The sequence below is a fragment of the Homo sapiens genome, chromosome 7, assembly GCF_000001405.40.
Source record: "Homo sapiens chromosome 7, GRCh38.p14 Primary Assembly".
NCBI classification, from domain to species: Eukaryota; Metazoa; Chordata; class Mammalia; order Primates; family Hominidae; genus Homo; species Homo sapiens.
Window position 1 is genome coordinate 83,680,829 of NC_000007.14, and position 17,651 is coordinate 83,698,479.

Sequence of the window (17,651 nt, forward strand, 5' to 3'; positions counted from 1 at the left end):
AAAGGTATAAAGAGACTTTCAGCCATATGTATTTCTGTAACAATGTAAGTGATTATTTTTGTAATGGAAAGAATATATTTTTGGAGGGGAAAGGAACATACATGTTTAATTTTATGAATAATGAAGGTGGAGTAAAGGCCAAGAAAACTTATTATTATGTATAAAAATGTTATTTCAACATTATTATTATCTACAAAACCAAAATGGATTTAATTAAGGTGGGCAAGGAAGGACATATTTTAAATGAAAGAATTTTCTTATGCCTAAATTGGATACTAAAAACATTCAATACTGTTTATCTGTATTATTTTATTAACTTTGAAAATTATTATTATATTGTCATTCATTTACATCCTGATTTAAAGAAAAGTTTTATAACTATTTTTGGAAAAGACCTATTAGATCCCTGCTAAGGTCAGTTCTTCAGGATAAGACTTATTTTATTCCTTTTGAATAATCTTGTATACTTATGAGGTCGAATGGGTAGTCAAGGAAATAACCATGTTCTCAAGATGTGGCCACTGTGGTGACCATACAGTAGGCTCCAGCGTTTGCACTGTAGTCCAGCTCATTCAAGCAAAGCTAACTCCAGTAGGGAATTTCCCCTGTAGAGAGCATGTGCATTTTGATTTTACCTGTCCTCTGACTGAACTATGCTCATTATAACAGTAAAAAACACACCCTGGATGGAGATTTAAAGTGCTAATGAGACATGTGATGTATGAATAAGCATGTACAGCAACTGCACATGTGGACTACCCAGACCATGCTTACTAGTAACACTTCTTTCTACCTCCTTATGAATAATTACGTAAAACTCACATAAAGGGAGTCTCCCTCGTGCCAGTCTCTCCTGTCTCATCCTTATGAGCAGCCTACCCTGAATACTCTCTCTCAGTGTGTACTGTATATTCTGCACCTAACTTTCAAAATATTATTTTCCTTTGCAATAAATTGCTGTATGCTGCATCTTCTTTGCTATGTCTCTTGTTTAAATTATTTTAAACTAAGAAGACCAACAACCAAGGTTTCATAATAGCCATCAACATTTCTACACTCATATCTACTACTTGTATCAACTCTTAATAATAATAATTATGATGGGGCAAGAACTGCTCTAAACAGTTTCTATGTATTAACACATTATACAAATTTTATGTAGATTATATTCTTAACCCATTTTATAGATAAGGAATCCAAGACAGATATGTCAAATAACTCGCTGAAGATTGTATAATGAACCAAAGGCTAAGCTGGTGTTTACATGTGATACAAGTATGCTGTGAAGAAGCCAATATGGTCAAATGACTCAGATTGTCTATCTGTAAAAAGACTAAAGACTGTTCTGTTTCTACTAACTTCAATGGAGTGGGATAGTGAGTATCAGGTTTTAGTGGGTTAAGACATGAATTCAAAGTCAAAGTGAAGACATTAAATTTATATAAAATGACAGGTAGTATTAGATTTTATTAATTGTCAAGGTTATCAGTTCCTGCTGGGAAACGAAGTGTATGTATGTTGGGGTTTGTAGGTGGGAAGTGGGTCAGAAAAGGCTTACAAGAAGAAATAAGAGCTGTATCAAACATGAAAGACAAATAGAAAATTTCCAAAAGATGAAAGGCTGGAGGAAAGGGCAAAGGATCCGGACTGAGAGAATGGGATGAGGAAGGAAGGCAGGGAGGAGTTTAGAGTGGAAGAGGAAGAGAGCAAAGATGAAGCTAGAGATCTAGGAAAGGGTAAGATTACGGAGGCCTTGGATGATCTGCCAAAAGCATTAACTTTATCCCTTATGTAATGAGACATCTTTTGATGATTTGAAGCACAGACTTCAAATGTTTGAGCTTATGTTTAACATAAATCACTTTGGCAGCTTTGAGGAGGCTATGTTTGAAAAGAGAAAATTTGGTAATAGGAGGTTGCTGCAGAGATCCAAGAAAAAGAATTCATGATTTTAGGAGGAGTGGCTACAGTGTCTGGGAGAGGAGAACATATGTATAAACATGCAAGAGGTAAAATCAGCAAGTGTTAGTCTATTTAGTGGTAAGTAGTGAGCAAAAAGGAGGCCTCATCTCCTGGTCTGCTTGGATGGCAGAGTTCTTGTTGTTATCAAAATTAAGAGAAAACACAACTGCAAGTGCAGGATGATGCACTAAATTCTAAACAAGGCTCCAGGAAGACACATAGTGGAGACGTAAGGTAAAAAATAGAATGTATAATACTTTAGGAAGATACAGACTGAAAGGTGTTTATGGGCAGTAACCAGCTCCAACATGTTCTCAGGAGAACAGTAACATTTAAGTTTCAGACAGAAGAGCCCAGGAGAAATAAACTATTAACCAATGATAGGGCATAAAAGATCCAAGGGAGTAGAGAGAGAATCTCAAAAAGGAAATAGAAACTAACTTTAAATATAAACTCTAATAACACAAGAACCTTTGGATATGGCAGTGGGGGTTGGGAGTTGTTGGTTTGCTTAATGATGCAGTCACTCTCAGTAGACATAGAAGCCAGATTATAGTTGCTTGAAGAGGGAGTAAAAGGCTTAGGATTTCATGAATTCCTTATTTTTCCAAATGACCGTCGCCTTGAACGTGTTCTGTAGGTGGCTGTCTTTGATCTCTGTGTTGGGAGGGAGGTTCATAATTTCTATCACCATTCTCAGCAGTTTTACAACCAAAGCTTTAAAATTTAAGAGGCAAAATAATTTTATGTTGTAAATCTATGTGACAAATTTTTATCAGTTGGTACTAACCTATGATATTCTCAGAAATAATTTCCATTTGAAATTATATGGAGAAACATGATCTGTAATTCGCATCACCAGGAGAGAAGAATGTTGGCATATATATATATATATATATATATATATATATATATATATATACACACACACACACACACACACACATTAGCTAACAATCCAATGATTATATATATATATATGATTGTTAGCTAATGTACAACATATAAAGATATTTCAGAATTATTTCTACTATTTATTTTTATTTGTACATCTTGGGTTTTTTTCTCCTTATAATTATTTAAAGGTAGTGATTGTGGTAGGTTCTATAATTTTTATTGTCTTAGAAATAGCCAAATCTGTGCAATTATCACTATGTCACTCAATAATTTAAAATTTTATTTTATAATCTGAGGATGTGATTATTTGCACACACTAACAAGCATTATGAACACCTAAACCTAGAAATCAAAAATTTTCAAAGCTTATTTGTTTTTATGGCCCCCATGGGGACAACTTGAGGCTCAAAATTCAGCTTTCTGGTATCCTTAAACTGGCAGTGGAGACTGAGAGAGATCCAGAAGATATTTAAGCATTTAGACTTGTTACTTAGCAAGAACTCTACATTAAATGACATTAATTCCCTCTTTAAAAAATGGCCCTCAAGTACATGCAGCTCCTCTTCATCATTTTCATTAACTAACAAACACTATGCAAACATATACACTTTTAAAGAAAAAGAAGAAACATATAAAACAAGGCGGTTGGCCTGATTTTCTGATTTTTTTTTTTTTTTTTTTTTGATATTTGGTGAAAATGTCTGGAGATTTAAAGACTAGATAATTATCTCACTGCTTTATGCTTTTACAAACACTTTGGGGTCATCATTGAGGACGGTTAGTTATCTACTATCACCACACATATTTATGTAACCAAACCCTATTCTGTTCATATAAATTGTTTAATACTGCAATAATATGAGTCATTGAACTTAAGAATCATATTTTGTCAAAAAGTTTTATATTTTTGTCATAGCCATTAGAAAGTTATAATGTGCTCATCTGTGAATTTTAAATAAATTTGGTGGAAATAATTACCTGATTGTATGTTTTCTTAAGAAACAAATTGATATTAGCTGCCAAGTTATTTAAAATTCTCTCTGGTTGCCACCATTGTGTAAGTTAGTGGTTATCTTTATAAAATCCCAAGGACTTCTTGAAGAGTTACAGGAAATCATACTTTTTGCTATGATTCTAATTCCATGGCTATTTCCTCAATTTCAAATTTCTGAACTTTTGACACAACTGAAATAATAAGAAATGGGGTGGGGCAAACTTGTCAGTGTAGGCAACTGTGAGAAATCTAACAAAGTGCCCTGGGCTTCCGTCTGTTTCCCAGAAGATGAAGGGAGCAGGTGCCTGAGGTGTGCTCCTGTGGAGGAACCCTCGGGCAGAGCTTCAGAACTCATAAAGGTCTAAGGCTGTGGGAATCTAATGTCTAGGGCTGTGGGAATCACCTTGGTGGTTTCAGCAGCTGTGATCTGTACTGAATGCCTGATGAACTCCCTTCCTCCCAGGGAGGAATGGATGGAATGTGGATTCTCCACTTTACCTAGGGCTTTGAAACAGCAGGGAGCTCTTTACCATCTCTAAGGCCTTAGCAAGCTGAAGGTATTTAAGACTCATAGGTAGAGGGCCCAGGGTTTCCCCATAAGTCAAAGTGAGGGACGCTGCACAATTAGAACTTACCACAATTATCTTGGTTTTATTTCAACAGATATTTAAAAATTAAAACCAAACAACAAATTGAAGAATAACAGTGGAGGTAAACAAGTACATTATCTTAAAAGTCTATTTATAGATTCAGCATGGGCCAGATCTTGTACTCAGAAAATGGTGTTGCACAAAATTGTAGTGTAATCTTTATGGCTATAAATAACGTAATCATGTGTAACGTCTACCTAATTATGTGGATTGAAGAAAGCTGACTTCAAGCATTTTAGAATAAGAAGGTTGGTATGTATTGGATACATAATAATAATGAGTTGCATAACCTCAGGAGATAATTTTACCTCTCTGGGCTCTCTGAAAAATAAAGAAGTTGGACTACGTGTTCAAAATCCTATTATCTCAAGTCCTGAAGTTTTAAATTATAACTATTGGTCTATTTTAAAGTTATAAGCAGTATATGATTCACTAATTGTTTTTGTATTATTTTAGTTTTTTATTTTTCTAAGTATAAAATCATTCACGCTTGGTACAAAAAAGAATCAGAGATTTTTTTAAAAAAATTAAGAAAACCTATAAACCCAATATCCTAACAAATCTAAAGTGAACATTTTTGTGTCTGTAAGTATAAACTTCTTGTAATACATACACATTTTATTAAATTGGGATTATACTATTCGTGCTATTTCATTATTCACTTTTTGTCTTAAAATGTATTGGCAGGGCGTGGTGGCTCATGCCTGTAACCCCAGCACTTTGGGAGGCCAAGGTGGGCGGATCATGAGGTCAGGAGTCTGAGACCAGCCTGGCCAATATGGTGAAACCCCGTCTCTACTACACACACACACACACACACACACACACACACACAAAATTAGCTGGGCATGGTGGTGGGCGCCTGTAATCCCAGCTACTCGGGAGGCTGGGGCAGGAGAATCATTTGAACCCAGGAGGCGGAGATTGCAGTGAGCCAAGATTGCGCCATTGCACTCCAGCCTGCGCGACAGGGTGAGACTCAGTCTCAAAAAAAAAAAAGTATCACATGTATTTTCTATGATTATATTTATTTTGTTAATAAAGGTTGCATGTTTTTCTGCATGTATATTTTGTGTATAAGCCATCTTTTATTTAAAAAATCATAGTAATACTGATGAAGACTATCAATAAATATCAATAGATTATGTTCAATAACATTATTAATGAACATTTAAGTTGCTTATTTCTGCTATTATTTATGCTTCAGTAAGTACACTTACATACCCGTGGTTATGAATTTCTCTGAGTATTTCCATAAGATAAATTCCAAGAAGTAGAATTGTGAAATCAGAATTGTGAGTGTGTGTTTTAATGTGACAGCTGTTTTTAAGTTAAATAACATATACAAATTTTATAAAATACACAAAAATCATGTTCAGTCATAATTTTAGTGTAATACTTTGTTGAACTTCCATTAAGTGATTTTTCTGTAAATATATCTTTTAATATTATTGAGATTAAATGCATTTGCAAGAATATATTTTGAAAGTATTGGTGTATTTGTCACTCACATTGGGGCAAGAGAGAAAGGAATAAGTGCTAAAATCAGGCCCCAAATTTCTCATACAGTGATTAGCAGAGACATACACCAAGCAGGTCTGTTACTCTGGGACCTGGCTGGGGTAGAAGTAAAGAGCCTTGGGCTGCTGTCCCTCTTGGCCCACATGAATTTTTTTCTCCTTCTTTTTCACATACTGTGGGTGAGTGATCCCAGAGAATTTTAAGTCTAAGGCCATAGAATCGATGTAATTATTTTCTAAAATCTGGATTGATACCAACTCAGAAATAACTATTTGGCTGCAAATTAGTAAAAACTACCATGTAAAAACACCCTTTTATCAGGCACCATGCTTTATACCTTAAATGCATTGTTTGTTAAATTTGCAAGAAGAAAAATAAGGAAGGAAGAAACAAGAAAACAGGAGTTCTGCACTTTAGGTTCTGTTGTGCCTGTGAAAAGAAGAGGTATTGTTGAGGACATTGCACTAAGTGAAATAATCCAGTAACAGAAAGATGCATGATTCCAATTACATGAGGTATCTGAAACAGACAAATTCTTATAATCAAACAATGGAATGGTGTCTACCAGGAGCTGGGAGGAAAGGAAAATAGGGAAATACTAGTAAACAGGCATAACATTTCAGTCAAGCAAGATGAATAAGCTCTAGGGAAATGCAGTACAATGTTTTACCTATAGTCAACAATAATGTGTATTGTATTGTAAGGGTGGAAAGTTGTGATACCTTTCTTCACTCATCATAAGGGTCATGGCCGCACTTCTATAGCAAAGATGGGTTAACAAGAAACAAATTTACTTAATCAAAGTTTAACATGACACAGGAGCCTTTAAAAATGAAGACCCAAAGACCCAGAAAAAAATTGTCCATTTTATACTTAGATTTGATTAAGAATGGAGAGTTATGAGGAAATGTGATTGGACAAAATGGCATGATCTAAAGGTGATAGACTGAGGAGGGAAACCTAACAAGGACTGTCTGTTCAGATTCTTCTTGGCCTCTCTGTGTATGTAGCATTTCTTCCTCCAGGTAGGGGGCAGGACCCGTCTGGAATGAGCATCTTCAAGGGAGAAGCAAGAAGGGGGACAGTGACCTTTCTAGGTTTTATGGCTTGCTTTGAAAAAGAGAGTTCTCATTTCTAAGACCTGCTTTGGGGAAGTTATATTCTGATTTCCAAGATTCGCTCCTGAAAGGAGTGGAAGACAGGATGGCAGGAGAAAATGAGAAATAGATTGCTTCTGAGGCCTTCCAGCATCCTTCAGTTCAAAGTACTCAACACACCAAGGCACCATACTTTAGGGTATCATATTCTGACCCTCAATATTACACTTAAAAATTTGTTAAGATGAAGCCAGGTGCAGTGGCTCATGCCTATAATCCCAGCACTTTGGGAGGCTCAGGAGGGCAGATCACTTAAGGTCAGGAGTTTAAGACTAGCCTGGCCAACATGGTGAAATCTCGTCTCTACAAAAATACAAAATTTAGCCAGGCATGATGGCAGGTGCCTGTAATCCCAGCTACTTGGGAGTCTGAGGCAGGAGAACGGCTTAAACTGGGGAGGCAAAGTTGCAGTGAGCTGAGATTGCACCACTGCACTCCAGCCTGGGTGACGGAGTAAGACTCCATCTCAAAAAAAATAAAAAATAAAATAAAAAATTGTTAAGATGGTGGATTTCATGTTCATTATTCTCACCACCATAAGATTTTTTAGAAATGTAAAAATTGATGCATAGAATTATTTAAAAACCTGCCCAAGATTAAAAAGCTAGTAAGTGGATGATTGAAATCAGATTTGATTATGCTCTTTGTCCATAATCTCGTTGTCTTAACTCATAATGTTTTACTTACAATATGTTTACAGAACATTACAAATTCATCTCAATACAAGGATCACCTGAAACTCACCACTTATACTATTTGAGTGAAAATAGTCATAATCTTGTACTTCTTATGTCTGGTAATGTTTGTTTAGTCTCATACATTTCTATCCTAAAAACATTAGGTGTGGGATGAATTCTGTTTCTTATTCTTTTTTCTGGAATGGGTGAATTGCTGTAACTTGCTAATTTTCCCCCAACCGAGTTCTATGGTTTCTCTGCTAGTGTAATACTTATCCCAATCTTATTTATTCATTTATTTGGAGTCTTTTTTTTTTTGTCACTATTTAGCAGATGAGCCCTTTGCCCAATGAGTTGAAAGTTAGTTCTTGTTAAGCATACTGATCAGTGAGAGTTTTTTTTCTTAAATTGGTGAGGGATTTGAGGAGATACTAAATAAGATTATACCTTTGTTTTATAAAAGGTGCATGTGTATTAAATATCTTCCATCATGTAAATCTTAATATTTTATAGAGCCTGTGTATCCTCTCCAAGTTGTATGAGTTATTTCTCCCTCTTTAAATAGCTAAAAGAAATGGAATCACAGAAGTGTTACGTGACTTCCCCAAGGTTATTTAGCAAATCGGCTGCAGAATTGCAGAGTTTAGTTCAAATCAGCTAAAACTAAGAGAGTGCTTTTTAAAAATAAAGCTGTAAAAGCTTTAAAATAATCACTAGAGTAGACTAGAACTACTTAATGAAAGCTAGACAATCAAAGAGGTTGTTTTACTTTTATCAAAGGCAAATATTCTAAAAGTGTGTAGCTGATCTTAAAAGATACTGAGTTTTCAATCATAAAGCATTCTCAGATAAATAAGATTCACACAAGGGATTAAATCTGTTTAGTCCTGCTCAAGGTTATGAAGCAAGTATAATAGAGAAAGGCTTTTAGAAATCTACTTGAATAAGCCATTTTGATCTTTTTATCTTAATTGCTTTTTATCTCCTGATAGTTTGCTTCTCAGCTTTGGTGTTGGGTTAAAAAAAATTTTTGGTCTGCCTTTACTTTGTGCTTGTTTGCCTGATGTAATGACAATTGTGTGTCTGTAATATTCATTCCAAACTATATTGTTTATACTCTTTGTTTAAATGGTTTGTTTCAGAAATATTTAAGAAGATTTCTCTACCTAAAATAAACATTTTGAAGAACCATTTAGGAGTAAGAGAGATGATGACTAGTGTGTTTTGTGTTAAGCACAACTGTGGCTCATAGGGTGAAATCTTTGCTACATTGCAAAAATAGTTTCAATCTCTCTTCATTAAAGCAAATAATTTGGTTGCCTGAAAGTCTAAAATACCTGGGTCATCCAAACGGAAATCAAAAGGCTGAGATATGTGTGGCATTTGTTATTTGAATTCCTACACCTTTCTGTGCTAGTGTTAACCAGCAGGTAAATTGTGAAATGCAATGAAATGCAAAGCTTAAAATAAAATCAGGTCATAAGCTGATCTATTTACAATTTGACATAATATTAACAAATTCTTACTGGAAAGTTTTATGACATTTATTTGGTGTAGGAGAGAAACCAATCTTACTTTGAATACCTAACACATGTAATTGGCTCTTCTATAAAAACGTGGTCCTTTAATGTGACTTCTTAATATCTGAAAAGTCATTGGGTAGGGGAAAAAAAACAAAAAAACAGAAACATGCAATAACATTAACATATATGAAATCAAGAACAAAGCAAATCTAAATAGTGTTTTAAAAGGATCTATATTATATTTTACTATGAACAGTTGATACAAGAATTTTAAATAGGCACTAGATCATTTTGAAGCAATCTGTTTGAAAACTCAAACTTTTTTGAGTGAACAGTTTTTTATAGTGAACACAGCTGTGGAATGAGCAGTGTTCACTATAGAATTGTGGAAACATAAGAAATAACTTATTAAAAGTGTTAAAAAATGGTTTGATAAAACTTATAGCTCCATGACTAGAGATATCTGCATATACTATAATATGTATGTATATTTTGTTTTGGTTTTTCTAAGTTGGCTTTGAGGTGTCTTTTAGGAAAGTGGCTATAAAATCTAGCCCTGCCCAGATGGGGCTCCAGGGAATTTGGTCATCGATGTTTACAGTATGTCTTTCATGGGATACTTCTTCATCCTGGTGGACAGCCTGATGGCTAAATGTCCAACTTGTAACCAGGTGTCCTGTTCACAGGAAACTTCTTTATAGTGGCACTTGCTTTTATGGCTCTTGTCTTACCTGTGTCTCATTTATTCCTACTAAGATTGCCACTGTCTTGGAGAGCCATGACTGGGAAAGATGTTAGGTTCAAGTGTGTTGGTCAGGTGAGGCAGCACAGAGGAGGCAACACAACAAAACACTTAAAATAACTGAATCAATTGATTATTTACAGATCTCAGAATGAAGAGAGCAGCATCACAGGACCAAGGGGAAGAGGGGAGCTGTCGGAGACAGCACACTCAACCAGCAGGGTAGAGAGAAAGAGAGAAAAAGAGGGATAATGGGCTGAAGCCTTTGTTGGGGCCCAGGATATTACCCAAGCAGGTTTCCCTTGGGTTTGGAGCAAGCAGGCATGAATTCCACAGTGTCACGCTGTGACTGAGAGGGGGTCACCGCAGCACATCTGCAAACTCCATGCAGGGCATGGGGGTTGGTGGGGCAAGTCAAGTAGGTTGTATCTAGCTCCGTAGGGAGGTGATTACTAGGAGACAGTTGTATAAGGCAGATATCTGGCTCACTACATTGAGGAATTGGGAAGAGGTGTAGAACTGGAAACTGTCAAGCCAGGCTTCTGGTATGAGAAAGTTAAACTTATATTCAAAATGGATGTGGAGAAAACATGAAATTCTAGGAATTTTCTACATTGCATGTATGTGTGATAGAATTCAGATGTACATTCAGTTTATATATAAAGACTTTCAGAGCTTATGATGGGGTATGGTAACTTTAGGGCCCATTTTAATCTAAAAAAAGAAAAAAAAATGAGTTCCTTAAAAAAATTGTCCACAGTGTATAGGGTAGATATAGTATTGAAATAAAAAAATAATTAATATGTCATTTGAATCATAACATGTTGTGTTGAAAATTAGTGTTAAACTTTATACAAGTCTAATAAAAATGATTTTGTTTTAAATTATGATTTACCAAACAACATTCAAAATATTATTTTCCAAGGGAAGCAAAGACAAATGTGATTATTATGAAAAATTAATAGTAGATAATGTAAAGAAATAGCTTTATTATTTTACAAAAATTTCCGCACTTGTTTACTATAAGCTAAAATTACATATGAAAAAAAAAAATCACATAGCTGGCATTAACATATAACTACAGTGTAAAATTACTGATTTACATGTGGCTGTAAAACTTTACACCATTACATGTTCCATAAATATATATTTTTCAAATGAATATAATAAACTGAATATTTATAGTTGCGCATCTGACCCTATTAAGTTAGAAATGTATGGGAAATTCTTAAAACCCAGGTTTTTCACTCAGCAATAAATGTGAATAAAAATTATTTATCTTAATGTTAATCTCAAAGTAATATAAATGGTACATTAGATCTAATTTTTTCTTAGAAGATTATATCTTGAAAATTTATATTATCTTTATTATTTAAAAATCAGTTTAATTCTATTATTTGTTTGATAATATATTCATCAAATATTTTTAGGCATCTATTATTTTAAATTCTCTGCAGAACTATATGCTACCAAGAGTCAGGAGATATAAGATTTGGTTTCAATTCTGTTACTAAGTTATTGTGCTGCCTTCTAATTAATCAACTATTTTTCTCTGTTTCACTGTCCTCATTTGTGAGAAAGAATCTCAATCTGTAATTGAGACATGGTTTCTGCTCTTAGGGGCTTCATAGTGTATTAGGAGAGAAGACGATAGTATAGAATGTTACAAGTGTTGTAATCAAAAATGTTCAGGTGGCAGAAATTTCTTCTGGTTAATCGGAAACCCTCTTGGAGAAGGTAGCAGATGAAATTGAATAGGGAAATTAGTAGAATATAATTTTTCAAATAAAGATGGTGGAATAAATTATTGTAGGTGAAATGAAAGCAAGGAGAGAAGGTATGGAATTTGGAAAGCTATAGTGTTTCTAGAACTTTCTGGTTCATGACCCAATTGGTGTGTCAGTAACTATTTACATCAGTCTTAGGCCAAAGGAAATACTTGACAGATTAATTTATTGGGTAGTTTTAAGTCCAAACAAATTATAGTTCACATGGTATGCAACAAATATCAGCATACTTTCTTGGAATATTTAAAGATCCTGTAGTGCCACTAAGAGTTTACTCAAGTGCCCCACGGCACCTTGCTTCTGTAAACCAAAAAGTATCTAAGACAGGACTCAATTAATTTAGAAGTTTATTTTGCAAAGGTTAAGGACATCCCCATGACACATCCTCAGGAAGCCCTAAAAACATGTGCTCAAGGTGGTCACGCTACAGTTTGGTTTTATACTTTTTAGGGAGACATAAGACATCAATCAATACATGTTAGACAACGTTGGTTTGGTCCAGAAAGGTGGGACAGCTCAAACTGGGGGCTTCTAGGTTATAGGTGGATTCAAAGATTTTCTGGTTGCAATTGGTTGAAAGAGTTTATCTAAAGACCTGGAATCAGTAGAAGGGAGTGTCTGGGTTAAGATAAGGGGTTGTGGAGACCAAGACTTTTATTATGCAGATGAAACCTCCAGGTAGTAGGAGAGAATAGATTATTTTAAGGTCTCCATTTTAATGTTAATGCTGGTCAATTTTGCCTGAATTCCAAAGGAAGGAGGGTATAATGGGATATGTCCAACTTTGCATTCCCATCATGGTCTGAACTTATGTTTCAGGTCAACTTTGAAATGCCCTTGGCTGAGAGAAAAGTTTCATTCAGTTGGTCGGGGGGTTGGGGAGCATAGAATTTAATTTTTGGTTTACAGTTCACAGTTTGGGAAGCATAGTTGTAGTGTGTTTGGTTATAATGCATTCAGATTATGGCAAAGGAGTTTTTGTTATGTTTTGTTTACAGCATGAGCCACATGTAAGACTGTAAATGAAAAGCCCCAATGAAAGAAGGGCTTACACAATCTAGTCTATCTGTGAACTAGCATGTAAAAAGAATCCAGAGGCTGGGTGTGGTGGCTCACACCTGTAATCCCAGCACTTTGGGAGGCAGAGGCAGGAGGATCACCTGAGGTCAGGAGTTCAAGACCAGCCTTGCCAACATGGTGAAACCCCGTCTCTACAAAAATACAAAAATTAGCTGAGTATGATGATGGGTGCCTGTAATCCCAGCTACTTGGGAGGCTGAGGTGGGAGAATCACTTGAACCCAGTGGGGTGGAGGCTTCAGTGAGCTGAGATCACGCCATTGCACTCCAGCCTGGGCAAGAGAGTGAGACTCTGCCTCAAAATACACAGAAATTGGAGGGAATAAAAAAAAAAAGTTCAAATATCAAATTCAATCTTCTTGAGAAAGATTAAGGGAAAGATCCACTTTATACATACAGCAAGGCTTCTTCACCCTTTTTCCCCTCAATTTTATGCTAAATTCTTTCCCACTTGCTCTGACCTTTGGTCTATCCCTACTACTTTTCAATTTATGAATTGCGAAACATCCTGGAAATGGTTTGCAAAGCTTTAGAGGAGAGAGAGAAAGCATAGTAGAATCATCATAAACAAATATTACAATCTTATTTGTGCAGAAGTATGTAGAACATGGAGACTATATACACACAAATAAATATTGTGCCGGTCACATATTCCCCCATTTCGTGAACCATCATGAAAGGGCTCAGTCTTTAATTGTGCCATCTAGTGACTCTAATTTGGTCTATCTCATCCCTTTCTTCCATATTTACTGGTATGCCTTTGAAGGTATTTATTTGGTCTCCAAAGTTTTCTTCTTAGAAATCTAAGAGCAAAGGAATGTGGGGCTTTCTGTGGGATAAATGCATCAATGTTAGAGTTTTTCTTCAATGTCTGTGTTCCTAGCAGGATGAGAAATATAGTGTATAATCTGAGTTCTTCCCCTCATGAAGGCAGACTGCCATTAGATATTCCCCAATGTCACAAATAAAGAAATGCTAATCTCACTCAAATCTTTCAGCTGTCTAGCAATAAATGTTGGGTTTGGCCCACACTAACTATTGTTTCTAAAACGCCATCAGGTGACTGCGTAATTCCTAAGAGGTACCCACTTGCTGACCTGTCTGCCACACTGGAACCTGATGAATGGGCACAGCCTCCTACTACGCTCTGACCTTGTTTGATGTGGTGGTAGTGGGAGGCAGCAAGAGTCCCCTGACCACCAATGGAAAAATGTAATTCCAGCCACCAGCACCTTGATGGCTGGACTATAATTGAAAAGGATAAGCATATGTTATTACTTTCAACTACCAAAACTACCAGTGTGGCAGGCCTTAGCTCCAGCATTCAGCACTTGATTATGGAGCAGCATCATGATAGTCATTCTCTCTTCCTTAACCCTTTTTAGCTTCAACAGTTCAGAAAGTTTACGGGAGTTTTATGGAGGACCAAGGCTGACACGAAGTCACTCATGAGCAAATCTGGTTCACCTATTCTTATTAACCAAGCCATGCAGCTCTCCCTCCATGGCAGGGTATGGGGGTGTGGGCTAGGGGGTGGGGAATACTGCTTTACTACTCCTTTCAGTCTTACTATAGAGATGTTAATTACATGATTATCATCTAAACATATTAATTTCTTTCCTAAGCAATTGTCATATGGCTTTAGTAAGGCAGAGAAACAATCCTCCAAAGAAAGGAGTGTCCTGTTGGATTCAAAGCAGTGGATTTTCTCTCATGCTGAGTCTTTGAATGCTTTCTTACAAAAACTTGCTCACCCTACAAAAGCAAACCCCTGGCTCACCCCTGTTAAGATCCCCCACTTCTTTTCTGTTTTAATTATTCAAAATTTGAATCCCAAAAGATTAAAAACACAGCTGGCAAAGATAAAACCCTCAGAAGGCAATGGGAGGGTGAAAAGGGAGAGAACAAAGATCACACTTTTTTTTAAGTGGGAAGGTGAGGAAAGAGATGTTTAGAGCTGAGAATGCTCTATAATGTAGAATGGGAATAAAAGCTTGGAGGGTATTAAGGCTAAAGGCTAGAAGAAAGAATTTGAATACCCAGCCAAATAAGTTAGCTTTCTTCTACAAATGATAACAAGGCATTAATTTTTATTATCCTTTCAAGTATGAGAAAAAAGTGAATCAGATAGAGACGTGCATTAGGACAAAATGCATGGGGTAGACATGACTGGAGTTAAAGCCAACAGCTATGATGATAACACACAGCCAGGTATGGAGTAGTGAAGACTCAAGCCTGGCTGGTGGCAGTGAGAATTAAAACAATGGGAGAGAGTTTAAAGAAATGAAAGATTGTGCAAAGATAAACTCAAGAGAACATGGTGGCATGCATACATCTGGTGGAAAACAGAGGAAGGAGTCAAGTTTGGCTTTAAAGTTTTATGTATCAGTGACTAACAATTAAAAAGTGCTATTAGTACAGTGAGGGAGATTTGGAGGATTAAACCTGGCCCTCCCTTGATGGTGTCCCTTGAGGACAAGAGGACCAGGCTTAATCCTCCAAATCTTCCTCAACGTACCAATGGCACTTTTTGATTGTTAGTCACTGATACGTAAGTGCTTAGTGCTCACAAGTACTTCTCATGTTGCTGAGCTCTTACTGATTCATACTGGTCTTCATTGTCACTTCCAGACCAAGTTACCTACCTTCTTCCTACCATGACCAGCTTTGAATCTCATGTCATCACTTTGGAGGATCTATTTCCCCTCCTTTTTGCAGCACCTACGTAATAGGCCCTTCATTTATGAAGATTTTAGCTCATGTTTTATTGAAGCTCTCCCCAACATTATTACTCCTACCCAAATTCTGTGTGATTTCAATAGCTTTAGTGACAATTACCACGGGTACAATGTGTATCAATTTCTGCCAGGCACTGTTTTAAGTACCCTATATATATTAACTCATTTAACTCCCATAACAAGCCCATTAATTAGATATTATAATCATCATTTGATACTATAATTCCCATTTTATAGATGGAGAATTGAGGCACAGAACAATTAAATAAATTGTCCACAGTCATTCAGCTAAGAAGGCTACTGGATGTGAGTCAAGGCATTAAGGCTCCAAAGTCCATGCTCTTATTTGCTCTGAAATATTGGTGGGTAGATGGTGTTTCAGTTCCTGATCTCCTGTCCTCCAACAACTGTACTCTTGACCCTAACAAAGCTGCTCATTCCTTTGATTATAACTTAGATCTTCTCTGTGATTGCAAACCTCTTTAATCTCATTTTCAAATATTTAATTTGCCAACTCTTTCCTCTCAATTTTCTAGCTCTGAATTAGATGGAACCAAATAAAGCAATCCTTTGACATACAATTCATTAATTCTACCATCCTTTTATTGTATCTTACTCCATCAAGTCTTTACTTCCTCCTTATCCAGCTTAAATTTTAGAGTCAATCCTTACCACTCTTTGGCATGTACACTCAACTATCTTGACCTTCTCTTTTCTGTAGATTTGCTGAATCAAATATAATCGTCGTTTAATTGGTTTAGTTCAATCCTTTGTCTAATCCCAGACAATATCCATATGGTTGAACAAATCTAGAGAAAAACACACAACCATCCTGTCAGTTTTCATTTTATGTTCATGATCAAGGACCTGAATGATCATGTTATATTTCCTCTGTCCATTACCTCTCCCAGTCTCTTGGACCTGTGATTCTCAAAATTGAATCCACAGTGCCTTGAGAGTTCCCATGACCTTTGCAGGGGATCTTGAGATCACAACTATTTTCATGCCAATATTTACATGTTGTTTGCTTGCTTTACTATGTTGACATTAGCTTCAAAGGCATAAAAGCACTAGAGGGTAAAATTGTTTGTGTCTTAACACAGTTAAGGCACTGGGACCAAACTGTAGTTGAAATCTCCAAAAAGCACATTCACTTAAATTTTATAAGTCAGTTTCACTTAAGAAAGTCCTATTAGAAGCAGTAAAACTATTAATATTAAATCTCAACCCTTGGATATATGTCTTTTTAATATTCTTTGAGACACAAAGTATTTCTGCTGCATACTAAAATTCAAGAATTGTCTCTAGAAAAAGCACGTGTGCCATTTTATGGAACACTATTTTTATTTGAAAGAACAACCGACAAATTATTGTTATTCGTAACTGGGTATTTGGCAGATATTTTCTCACAAATGAAGAAAGCGAGTCTTTCATTTCAAGAAAAGCAACTGACATGATTTATTGCCAGTGATAAATGTCTTGCTTTCAAATGAAAATCAGAATTGTGGACAACTTTTGTCTGCCACAGAGGGCTCCCTAATAGTTAAAGACTTTTTTTTTTCCCTGAAGAAATTAAGGGTGATATAAATGAAAGTGATTTTTTAAAAATATTGTATATTTGCAGAACTCAGTGAGCAAATATTTTCCAAATGACTGAAACATGATGTTATAAAGTCACTCATGAGTAAAAAATCCAATGAATGAACAAGTGTAACAGACTTCAGTGTAACAGAATACAAAATGTTTATTGATGTGACTTCAGATTTTTCATTGCAACTAGCCTTTAAAAGGCTATACTACAGGAGTGACAAAGAAGACTATCCACTATTATCTAAGAAAGTGATTACTCCCTTTAACAACCACATATTTGTGGGAGGCCAAACAAGCATTGCTCTGTGTGACCCCTTCCTCTCTGATATACTGA

General features: G+C 35.8%; 4 annotated features.

Moving 5' to 3' along the window:
• Positions 4,143–4,642: an enhancer, noted in NCBI's record as "OCT4-NANOG-H3K27ac hESC enhancer chr7:83314287-83314786 (GRCh37/hg19 assembly coordinates)". NCBI's record gives its function as "activates a minimal SCP1, AML or CMV promoter by ChIP-STARR-seq in naive and primed H9 embryonic stem cells {active_cell/tissue: H9 hESC(naive and primed)}" and the evidence as "EXISTENCE:reporter gene assay evidence [ECO:0000049][PMID:30033119]".
• Positions 5,326–5,833: an enhancer, noted in NCBI's record as "H3K27ac-H3K4me1 hESC enhancer chr7:83315470-83315977 (GRCh37/hg19 assembly coordinates)". NCBI's record gives its function as "activates a minimal SCP1, AML or CMV promoter by ChIP-STARR-seq in primed H9 embryonic stem cells {active_cell/tissue: H9 hESC(primed)}" and the evidence as "EXISTENCE:reporter gene assay evidence [ECO:0000049][PMID:30033119]".
• Positions 10,182–10,693: an enhancer, noted in NCBI's record as "H3K4me1 hESC enhancer chr7:83320326-83320837 (GRCh37/hg19 assembly coordinates)". NCBI's record gives its function as "activates a minimal SCP1, AML or CMV promoter by ChIP-STARR-seq in naive H9 embryonic stem cells {active_cell/tissue: H9 hESC(naive)}" and the evidence as "EXISTENCE:reporter gene assay evidence [ECO:0000049][PMID:30033119]".
• Positions 12,372–13,014: an enhancer, noted in NCBI's record as "NANOG-H3K27ac hESC enhancer chr7:83322516-83323158 (GRCh37/hg19 assembly coordinates)". NCBI's record gives its function as "activates a minimal SCP1, AML or CMV promoter by ChIP-STARR-seq in primed H9 embryonic stem cells {active_cell/tissue: H9 hESC(primed)}" and the evidence as "EXISTENCE:reporter gene assay evidence [ECO:0000049][PMID:30033119]".